We start from the raw sequence: 12,332 nt of genomic DNA, 5'->3' as shown, positions 1-12,332 counted from the left end.
AAATGGCTGAAGGCTCTATGACAAGTTAACAAGTTATGTATTACTTTCTATGTTGAGATACTAATGAAGTACATACTATTTTCTGTTACACGCCTTTGTTTTAACTTTTCAGTGAAGTTTCATAATTCTTTTAGCCTATGCTTTCATAAACACGTCTAATTATGCACTTTGCTTTTTCATAGATATGTTATTATATCACCTTTTGCTTTGTCTTTATATACTTAAGACTCTTCACCATTTATATCCCTTCACATGGTAGCCCTTGAACCTATAATCTCTCAATCATTTCAGATTATCTTACCAAATGTATTCCATATAATGAATCTATAGGCTTTGAACCCAGAAATGGAACAATGTTTGGCCTATGGTTCCAAGAATTAGTCTGCTTATCAGCAGACCCAACCCAACTAATGCCCAAAGCAGGCTTAAGGTAGATGAAAATTGGTGCTGATGATCTAAATGCCTATTTAATGAGCAGTAGGATTCACCAAACAACAACAATCTGTCTTCATCAAATAGGTGGTAGAATTGTGGCTTTAGGTGCAAGTTAAGTTCTCTTGGCCCAGTAGCATCAAAATAGCTTGATATATACCCTCTTCAGTTTTCCCAGTGGTTTCCTAAGTGGTACCTCACATGTGCCCAAAGACCGATCATTTGGCTGCAAACACCACATGACATACATCCTCTTCTACATTGGTCCCACTTGTTATATCCCATGAAGTCTCCCCTGCCCCACTGCTCGGAGTGATCATCAGGAGACTGCAATACCTGAGACAGGGGTGCAGTCTCAGCTGGTCCATCCCAAAGCTGCCATTTCTCAGGGAACAAAAGCAGAGCTGAGTTCTGCGCAGAAGCACAGAGAGCAGCTTTCTTGCTAATGCTGTGTCATATTTTGTTGCCTGCCAAAAGAGCTTTGCTCAAGAATAGAGACCCGTAAATTTTTCTCATAAAGAGTTTCACAATTAAGAGTACTCATCTCTCAATCATAGAGCCCCCCATCCAGTTCAATGGACCAAAAAGAGAACTGGAGTTGTGTCCGTTTTCCTCCTCAGCCTTCAGCTTACATTAATAAGCCTCTCCCAAAAGAACATGATCTCCCCCAGATACCAATTTTCTGCCTCTGCTTTGAGATCGGAATTCTTAATCATAACTATTTTAGTGAAGTCTTTGGGAGAACAGTTATTCAGAAAATAAAAATTCAAACCTCCACATTTGAAGAAGCAGAACATTCTCTACTAGTTTTTCAACAACACATTTTTCAGTGCTTACTCATTGTAAATCTAAGGGGGAAAAAAACATAATCCAGAACAAAACCATCTTATTAAATAGAGAAATTTTTGAATGAAGCTGGGCCCCCAGTTGAACTGAAGGCATTGTTAGCTGTGTCTATCCTCTGCAGAGAGGGAGAGGACTCAAGTCGTAGAACTGGACTAGGCTCCCACCTGTCAAAGGAGCTAGTGAACAGACCAGAAACCAGGAGAGAAATGCAGGCATGGAGATTGGACTCTGTCCATAGGATTAGAGGGATGAGCCATTCCAGGGAAGATTTACCCAGGCAGCAGATTAATCAGACCCTATTGTAACAGGATGGCAGTCTCAGCAATTATTGACTCATGCTCAAGACAGCAGATTTTTGATCCTTCTGACAGCTGGTCCTCAGGCAAGGACTGACACTCCAGCTATGTCATATCTTCCTTGATACATAGCAACCAGAATGGAGCTCATTAACGCAGGTGCAGAAAAGCTCTCCCCACACCCAAATAGTTTGGTATAAAGACTGCAATATGTGCTTTTTGTTTTCAGCATCACTCATGGTTGGATTGCACCTATAGGCTTGTAAATCGATGCTTTTATTCTAAAGTCTTTTGTTGTGTCACATCTTGGAGTGACCTCAGCTGGGGGTCTGATACTGCTTTTCAGAGATTACAAGGTCATGATTTGAATTTCAATGCTAATAATATAAAAAACAGTCAAACAAGTCAGCTTTTATTGGGTCCCAATTTTGTGCTGGTCGGTGCTTGGTGCTTTGCAAGTAGGAAGAGCATGGGCCAGAGAACATCAAGGCCAAGCAAGCACTGTACATGCTCCCGACAGGAGATGTTCCTCTTTAGCACTCTTTCTGCAAGCATCACTTACACCTGAGTCAACTTCCTATCTGTCATTTGTCTGCACTCCTCACACCTAACACATAATGACTACCTTGCAAAGTGTAATCCACTTTACAAAGTCCATGTACACGTATACTCTTTCTTGATGCAGTAACCCTGGAAAGTACATAAGATAACATTTTTTCTACTTTCCTCCCACTGCACTCACTTTTTATCAATACTAACAGACCATTACTTCTCTTTCCCTTTTAAAAATCACATCATTTGGGGTCAGAAATAAACTCTTCTGTGGCTTGTGTTTGTGTTTTATGCTTTGGTTTTTGATCTTGCACCTGGAGGAGGACAAGCAAAGGGTGCGCCTTATGCACTTGCTCAATACACACTAGCAAGCTGTAGAGATGCAAAGTTTGTGAGATGGATCTAATTTCAAGGGAACAATCTTGGAGGAGCTGCCGGGTTCCCATGTGCCAGCTTTCTGTGTTATTTGTTTTCATTATTTGGCTAAAATTACCCAAGTATCCCTGCACCCACTCCCATTTTTTGTTACTATTGTTATATGTTTGTTCATTATAGCTGTTATCAAAGTACAGAGCATAAATAAACTACTTAGTAAATACTTTCTGAACAAAATACGACAAATTGTTCAGCAGTGCAGAAACAGATGCTCATTTACTCACTGAAAGCTTCTGAAAATAAGGTTTCCGTGTACCATAGTAGAGAAATAGGGAGTGAAGTGGCAGTTACATGCTTATTTGGTATGAGTACCACCAACAAGTAATCAAGCTATTCCCACCTTCCTGGCCACAGGACAGGTGAAGCTTTTCTTATTCTCCCTGCAGATGCCTGGGATGATAGGAGACTGAATTGCTGCCCACACTCACAGCCATTGCAGGCAGTGACTCAGCAGCTTCTCAGAGAGAAGTTGCAACTTGGGACCTCCAACACTATGGATAAGACACCTTTTCGCCAGGCCATTCGGGGTCACCTGCACACATACAGACATCCCCAGTGCACTCATGTTCCTATGTGCATAATCACACACACACACACACACACACACACACACACACACTTGCATAAACATCCTTGACAGAAATCTTCAGCTTGTGGCTAACACAGTCCTAAAATGGATTAGAGAAATAAATTTCATGCCTGAAATCTGACATATCTTCCTTCAGCTTACATCTTGAAAAGATGCCTTTAAGATTTTGTAGGTCACACAGAGTTGTTTGGTGTGGAATGGGTGGCAGAAGCAGGTCATATTCAATGTCCCCTGTCCACTGACTCATCAGGCATGGGGCCTCTGAGCATCTGTCAGGAGGGAAAAAATCAAGACACAACAACTATAAAGATTCTCCAGCCCAAACCAGTGAATAAAATAGTTATATTTCTGTAATCACTGATAAAGAGGAAATCTTACATTACAGTTCCTTCCTAGTGCCTAAAGCTATTGCTTGTGAAATATTCTACAATTTGCTTTAGCTATTTAATACCACCTCAGCATAAATTGAGCTGGATTCTTCACATTTATTAGCATACAAAAATCCATTTATCTCTGTCTCTTTTTTGCTTCAGGAACCAACCTTGCATTTCAAATAATAATAATAATAATAATAATAATAATAATAATAATAATAATAATAATAATGTACACGGAGCCCATAAAGACCCACTGATGGAGTGATAGATGTTTTTTAAACCCTGGGGCATTACAGGAGTTTATGAAGCAGTAAAACTTTCTCCAGGCATGAGAAGTGCAGACTGACAGAGACCATTTTATCTGTAAGGCATTAAAGTATAAGTGCTACATTGGACAAGCATAATAGAAGAGAAAAATAATAATAATTTCAGGAAAGGCGGTCAACTCCTCAAGCAAAAACAATCAGACCAGGAGTTACCTAATGATCGTCAGAAAACCTAGAAGGAGATAGCCTACGCGGCATCTGAGTTTTCATTCAGAGGAATATTGGCTGCCACTCTGCCCTCCATGTCATTGCAAAAGGCAGCAGAAATTTGAAGTAATTCCAATAAGACTTTTCTCAAGTAAAGAGAGAATCCTATATTCTCATTCTATCTTACTTCATTTCCCTCATCACTTTAGCAAAGACGTGTGTGGTGCTGTTTTCCATAAGTATTTAGTGAACATCTGCTATGTACAAAACAAGGCATTATGTGTTGGGGAGGTAATAGCCAGACCCCTGCACTCAGAATCTTGCCTTTTTATTGGGGAAGAAGCACTATACTAGTGAAAAAAAAAAAAACCAAAGCTACCAATTATCTATAACAGCAGTGAAAGAAGTACATGAGGATGATACATCAGCAAGAGGAATAAAAGGAGAGAAAATTTTAGATTATGTGATCTGAGAAATGTTGTAAGAAATAACTATACTGTGGGCTTTACTGAATGCCTTTGTTCCTTAGTCTCCTAGGATTCCATTTCTTCAAGAAAGCTCCAAACATTCATTCATTCATTCATTTTCTCTGTCTTTAGACAGCATGGTTCATAAACTATTCCAGTTAGAGGAACACCTGTCCTATTTTAAAGGAAGTGGATTTCAAATATTGTTTTTTTTAGAACATTCTAGGGTTCTAATCTACTGTAATGACACATCTACTTTGATCCAACTTCCTGCATTATTTGATTTAAGCATCTATCCTCTTTTTCCAGTTTTAGTAGGGAACCTAAAAAACTATTATCTCATCATCAAGCCTTCTTTTCTTCAGATAGATATGTTTATTTTTTTATTTAACCTTTAAACATAGATGCTATTTTTATACTTTGGTTTTTCCAAAGTGACCTCTTCTGGGACATCTCAAATATTCTTGCTCTACAAAAGAGCCCTATTTGGACAAAGTAAAGACATACAGTTCTTGATTTAAACTCTTGGTTCATGGCTCAGCAACCTAGAGATGAATTCAAATGACTACCTCATGTAAGGATACAATCATGTCCAAGACTGCCTCTAACAGTTATTCCCCATGCTTCATTTAATCTGTGTGCCTCTTTTGATATGACACTGACAGAGTTAAGTTTGAGTTGGGGAAGTGATTCCTTAAAATTGGTTTATCATTTTACTTATCCTCTCTCTTATCCTCTCTCTCTATAATTTCTCTTCCACAAAGCCATTCTTGTTTGTTTTAGACCATATTAATCTCCTTTTTTTCCTGAAATGTTATTGCAATTATTGTCCAAGTGTCCCTTTCAGCACACTTCATACGTAGCTGCACAGATTCTGCCATATAACTAAGGACTGAACACCTGGGCAATGCACAAACACCCTCTATACAGAATTTAGTGACATAGGAAATGTACCAAATACAGGTTCAGATAGTAACATATAATTATATTGTATATATTATTTTATGCATTATATATTAGATGTTGCATAATATGTGTTACAATATTCTCCTCAGTACATTCCTCGGCATGTAGTAAATATTCACCAAATACTTATTGAATGACAAAGATCTTCAGTGTTATACCTTATTTTAAAACCTTTGTGGGGTTGGGTTTAAACAAATCGGGCACAAATGTTGTCACAGAAGATTTTTTCTGCTTGGAAATTGTAAATTAATCTGTAAGGTTATTCAAGAAAAAACATAATTGTTTACATGTTTATTGGAATGGGTATTACATGGTATCTACACATTTTGAAAAAAATCCAGGAAGTATGGTACTCTGCAGAAGCACAGCCTACTCTGACCAAAACACTCATCTGACAAATGTCCATGGATGGTAGCCAGTGGTCACCAAATTAAACAAATAAGCTTCACCTGCCCTAGACTTTGCCTAAACATTTAAAAGTGACTCATTTTCTGAGGAGAGCAACACATGAGTTAGGATATTCCCAGTCAGTTTGAGTGTGACATCTGCCCCATCCCAAACAGAGGGCTCTCAGTTATCCCAGTACTGGTTGATGGAGAACAATGTTGCCCTGCTCAAGAGTAAACTTTTATTTTTTCTAGGACTTTTGCTGCTCCTTATATCATTTAGCTGTTGTGTTCATCAACCTATAGTCAAACACACCAGGGAATTCTAAATGGTGTGTAAAGTGAACATCTGTCCACTGCAGGATGGACACATCTGTACCCATTAATTTTTCATCATTTCCCCCAATCAGGGGTCAGATGTTCACAATGTGCTAATGTCCTGGCACCCCTCTCCCATGGATTTAGTGCCTCTGAAGCAGATCTTGCAATTACAAGAAAACAGGGTAGCTTCGGCAGAGAATGTGGAGAATCTACCTCCCACTCTCAGAGGAAAAAAGGGAAAACAATTATTTTAAAAGATTGCATCTTCAAAGAAACTGGAAACAAAAAATCAGCTTGCTGCTTATTAAACATGAGATAATCATCTTTGCTATTTCCTATATGCTTGTTTAGAATAAAATGGGAATGATTTACTTGCTGGAGAGCTCCCTCTTTTGTATTCTGTTTTTACATGTAATGGCCCATAACATTATCTTATTTTTCTTTCACCTTTTATCAGCATAGCTTACCAACTATTATCTCATTTTTGCTTACGTATTTCTCATTCTTTTATGCTCTAATTCATCTTTTTTTATTATTCCACAAGAGAATATTTTCAAAAGAGCAATGATTTGGTGCTGCCTAACACCTGCTCTTAGCCAGTCCACTTGCTCAGGTTTTCTGGTCCCTTCTGTTTCATTCTGACACATTGGGCTAGACACAAGGTAGGGACGCAATTTACAGCAAGACAAATAATCACAAACTTTGTATGTGGCTGGCTGGGATTAAAGTCCATAATGATCTAACAAACATTTTCTTTGAGGAGGGAAGCGCCTTCATGCAAATGTTACCATCATATTCTATAGAAACAAACTATTCTCAGAAGCATTGCCTTGGTTAATTACCAATCTCATGGTGTGTTAAATATCTAAAAATAACTATGGATTGTCCTTATTTGCAGAGAGTTGAAATCACAGCAGGAGGGCCATGAAGAGAGAAGATGTTTTTAAAACCTGGATGGTTTCCCAGGATTTTTCTTTTCTTTTCTTTCTTTTTCTTTGGCTTCCCACTTTCCAAAAATACAAAGTAACATCAGAGGTTTCCCAAGCTGTCATAAGGTTTGAAGAGAGCGTGTTGGCATGTTCATTGCCCCTTAGGAAGCACATCTATCTGTTTTTCTTCCCAGCTTTGCAGTCTATGTGAGCATTTTGTTAACAGCAGGTCAGCTGTTTCCAATTCAGTCGCTATCAACATAGACCTTGTTATCAAGGGTAAGAAAATACTTTTTTTGTGAGCCTGGTTTTCTTCAAGTCTCCCTTTTGTTAGAAACCGTAGCCATTACTGCTTTTGTGAATAAATTTCATCCAACAACCTTCCTTCCTTAAATAAAATTGCCTGGCTCCATTCCAGGTTTTTTTCACAATGACTCCAAACCACTGCCAACAGCAGGCACTGGCAAACACCGTAATTATCCAGTGGACATCGTTAGCCCAGGGCTTTTCTTTTCTTTCTGTTTTTATTATTTATTTATTTATTCATTTTTTGAGACAGTCTCACCCCGTCACTCAGGCTGGAGTGCAGTGGTGCGATCTCGGCTCACAGCAACCTCTGCCTCCCAGGTTCAAGCAATTCTCCTGCCTCAGTCTCCTGAGTAGCTGGGACTACAGGCATAAGCCACTATGCCTGGCTAATTTTTGTATTTTTAGTAGAGATAGGTTGCACCATGTTGGCCAGCTGCTCTCAAACTCCATACCTTGTGATCTGCCTGCCCTGGCCTCCCAAAGGGCTGGTATTATAGGCATGAGCCACCGTGACTGGCTGACTTTTCCTTTTATAAAATATAGTAGTTTGGCATTCTGGCATTAAGGTTTTGAGAACTTCCTGTCTTTACTCTTTATTGATCAACCACTACAGACTTTCTGTTTGTTTCTGAGGAGATAACTTTGATCCAGGTGTTCCAGGGTGCAAAAGGAAAGATAACAATAGTGTTTTAGATACAGATAGCACTCTACATTTTATAAAACATTTGCATAGATGTCAGATTTTTCTTCAAACTAGAGATTGGATAAGTATAAGATACAGTAACACTCTATTTTAGAAGACAAGACTTATACATGTTCACTTGATTTTTCAATCAGGAAGGGAGATAATATTTACCTAACATTGTACCAAGCATTGTGGAAAATTTTTACATATGTCATTTCATTTAATCCTCATAATTACTGTGTCCAGAGTTGGCTCCTTCCAGTGGGTTATTGGTCTTGCTGACTTCAAGAATGAAGCCACGGACCTCTGCAGTGAGTGTTACAGCTCTTAAAGGTTGCATGGACCAGAGTGAGGACCAGCAAGATTTATTGTGAAGAGCAAAAGAACAAAGCTTCCAAGGCATGGAAAGGGACCTGAGCAGGTTGCTGCTGCTGGCTGGGGTGGCCAGCTTTTATTTGCTTATTTGTCCCCACCCATGTCCTGCTGATTGGTCCATTTTACAGAGTGCTGTTTTGTCCATTTTACAGAGTGCTGATTGGTCCATTTTACAGAGTAAAATGCTGATTGGTGCATTTACAATCCTTTAGCTAGACACAGAGTGCTGATTGGTGCATTTTTACAGAGTGCTGATTGGTCCATTTACAATCCTTTAGTTTGACACAGATCACTGATGGGTGTGTTTACAATCCTCTAGCTAGACAGAAAAGTTCTCCAGGTCCCCACTTCACCCAGGAAGTCCAGCTGGCTTCACCTCTCAATCCTCCCTCTAAACAGGACCCCCACAGCTACTGTTGGGAATTGGGCAATGACCACTCTAGCTACTTCCTGCTGGATAGGGGTGAAGAAGTGGCCCTGCCGTGGTAGTGGAACTACCTAGGGGAACTCTCTAGGCCAGACAAAGGGTCAGTGCATCGGTCCAGGGGTCCTTGGTAGAAGTTGTTAGTTGAGCTCATTTGGGGTTCCATTTGTAAGACCATCTGTAGCATGATGGCCTCAATCCTGGAGGAAACAAATTTAATAAGGAGGTTAAAAATACAGGGCCCAAAGATGAGTAGCAGCAAGATGGCTGTCACAGGACCTAGAAAGGGGAGAAGCCATGTCACCCAACTCCAGAGGTCAGTATAAGAGTTTGAAAGGTGTTGTCTGATTTCAGAAGCCTTTTCCTGTAAATGCCAAGCAGTGTCTCATACTATCCCTGACTGGTTAGTGTAAAAACAACTCTCTTCCCCTAAGAAGGTGAAGGGTCCTCCTTTCTCAGCAGTGAGGAGGTCTAGGACCCAGTGATTTTGGAGAGTCACTGCTGCCAAAGAGTCTATTTGGGATTGTAGAGTAAGGACAGATTTCGTTATTTCTTGCAAACTGTCTGAGAAATCCTTTGAGAGTGTGTGGTAGTAGGATAATGAAGTGGATAAACCTGCTATTCTGGTTCCTGTAGCAGTGGCCATTCCTAACCCTATAAGTAGGGTTATTAGTTGTACGGCCCTGCGCTGATGGACTTGAGCTTTGAGGGGCACTGCTAGGGTCTGATTTCCACAAGATTAGAAGTTAGGATAATACATGTTACACTGTTAACTTTTAGCAAACTTTACTTTTGTTGAAAACCTTGTAAGTTTGGGATTTTAATTATTCTTTGCTATTAATAAGACCTCATTCAGTCCATATTAATTTAGAATTGGTATAGATGGCTCCTTCCTGATTCTGTAAGCAGTTTAAGATTTGGCTGAGTGCAAACAGCTTGCACATTTGAGCAGACCAATTATTAGGCAATTTTAAAATCCATTTGTGTCTTTTTCCCTTAATCGGGAGGAACCATCTATCATCCTGTTCTGAAGAGAATTTCTCCTAGGTCTGGTCGGACCTTTGTATGATAATTAATTAAGATTTAGATCCCCTGTTAGGAAACCTGCTGGGATAAGGATTTTTGATAGGAAGGCTATGGGTTGTCAGTGGCCTCATTGCTTTCAGGTTATGCCCTTGTTTACACTGAAAACAAGGTGGTATTGGAGTGTTATAAGATTATGGAGAAGACCTTCAATTATCAATTATAGGTTTTAAATTTACCCTGGCTTTTAAAGGAATAAGGTACACTGTTTTTTCTTAACTACTTCTCTCTCTCTCTTTGACTTTCTGTCGCTTTCTCTCTCTCTCTTTGACTCCCTTTTAGTCTCTCTGACTCTTCCTCTCTCTCTTTCCTTCTCTCTTTGACTTTCTGTCTCTCTTTCTTTCTCTCTGACTCCCTTTGTCTCATCCTTTCTCTTTGACTCCCTCTTCGTCTCTCTGTCTCTTCCTCTGTCTCTTTCCTTCTCTCTTTGACTTTCTCTTTCTCTTTTCCTTTCTCTTCTGGTCTTTACCTGCCTCTGCCAGCTGCTTTTTGATGGCTTTGGCAGTGTAAGACTGCCATCTCCTTGGGTTTTTGCACTGCGTGCAATAACTCCATGATTTCCTTGTGGTATTTAATGGGAGTTTCCCCCAAAGATTAGGAACTACCTTTCTTTCCATATGGCAGCATGGGCATGGAGGATTAGATAAGCAGACTTGTTATCTGTATACACATTTATTCTTTTTCCCTTTCCCAGTTCTAATGCTCGGGTAAGTGCCACTAGTTCTGCTAACTGGGCGCTGGTTCCTGGGGGAAGAGGTTTACTTTTAAGTACTGTTACATCACTAACTATGGCATAACCTGCCCCTCATATCCCATTCTCCCCAAATGAACTTCCATCTGTATATAGGTTAAGGTCAGGATTAGCTAAGGGGACTTCTAAGTGATCCTCTCAGGCGGCATAAATCTGGACTATAATTCGTTGGCAGTCTTGCTCAATTGGTTCCTCATCTTGTGGGAGAAAAGTGGCAGGGTTGAGGGCTGCACACGTGTGTATTTGAAGCACCGGTCCCTCAAGGAGTAGTTCCTGGTATCTAAGCAGGCAGTTGTCTGATAGTCATAAACTTCCTTTGGCACCTACTATGCCATTTACATCATGTGTAGTCCAGACAGTGAGATCCTTTCCTTGTATTATTTTGATAGCCTCTGATACTAAGATGGCTATTGCCTCAACTACCTGTAAACAGTGAGGCCAGCCTTTTGCTACTACATCAATTTCCTTACTTAGGTATGCCACTGGTTATGGGGTTGTCCCACAAGTCTGAGTAAGGACTCCAAGAGCTATTACTGCTCTCTCTGTGATGTATAAAGAGAAGTTTTATCTTGTGTGAAGGCTTAAGGCTGGAGCTTGTAGTAGGGCCTGCTTTAAGGTTTTGAAGGCTGTTTCTACCTCTGGTTCCCATTCTACTAGATGAGTATTTGCCCTCTGGGTCTCCTGGTTCCTCTGCCTAAGATTAGGCCTAGATATTTGACTTGTCATAGGCAGAGCTGGGCCTTCAATTTAGATGCCTTATACCCTTGATTAGCTAGGAAGTTCAAGAGATCTAGAGTGGCCTGCTGGCATGAGGCTTCTGAACTGGTAGCCAAAATTAAATCATCCACATACTGAAAGACTAGAGTGCCTGGACTTGAGAAGTGGCCTAGATCTTGGGCCAGTGCCTGACCAAACAGAGGAGGGCTATCCCTAAACCCTTGGGGCAAGACTGTCCGTGTAATTTTGGATGTGTGGTTTGTGGGATCCTCAAAGGCAAAAAGAAACTGGGAGTCAGAGTGCAGGGAGATACAGAAGAAGGCATCCTTGAGGTCCAGAGCCATGAACCATTCTGCTTTCTCTGGTATTTGAGAGATCAGGGTATAGGGGTTTGGTACAACTGGATATAAAGGAATTACTGCCTCTTTGATGGGTATAAGATCTTGCACTAGTCTCCACTGACCATTCGGTTTTTGTACTCCTAGAATTCAGGTGTTGCGGAGACTGCTGCATTTTCTTACTAAGGCTCGAGCTTTTAAATGTCTAATAATATCCTGTAATCCTTTATGAGCTTGAGGCCTTAAGGGATATTGCCTTTGATAAGGAAAAGTGGTGGGGTCTTTTAGCCTGATTTGTCCTGGGCAGGCATTTTTGCCCTTCTGAATTGTCCTTCCAATGTCCAGACTTCAGGGTTGATTCCCTCCTCAAGCAGGGGACAAAAAATGGGTAACTTGTTCCCCATATTCATGTAGATAATGGCTGCAGCTTTGTCTAATATGTCTCTCCCTAATAAGGGTGTGGGACTTTCAGGTATAACAAGAAAGGCATGTGAAAAGAGCAAAGTCTCCCAATTACAACTGAGGAGGTGGGAGAAATACCTGGTTACAAGCTGTCCCTAGGATTCCTCAGATGGTAATGG

At 40.3% G+C, this 12,332-nt stretch overlaps 1 annotated feature.

Moving 5' to 3' along the window:
* Positions 1,613-2,155: an enhancer, noted in NCBI's record as "NANOG hESC enhancer chr8:35803026-35803568 (GRCh37/hg19 assembly coordinates)". NCBI's record gives its function as "activates a minimal SCP1, AML or CMV promoter by ChIP-STARR-seq in naive and primed H9 embryonic stem cells {active_cell/tissue: H9 hESC(naive and primed)}" and the evidence as "EXISTENCE:reporter gene assay evidence [ECO:0000049][PMID:30033119]".

The sequence above is a fragment of the Homo sapiens genome, chromosome 8 (genome assembly GCF_000001405.40).
Source record: "Homo sapiens chromosome 8, GRCh38.p14 Primary Assembly".
Taxonomy (NCBI): domain Eukaryota; kingdom Metazoa; phylum Chordata; class Mammalia; order Primates; family Hominidae; genus Homo; species Homo sapiens.
This window is presented reverse-complemented; position numbering and strand designations above follow the sequence as displayed.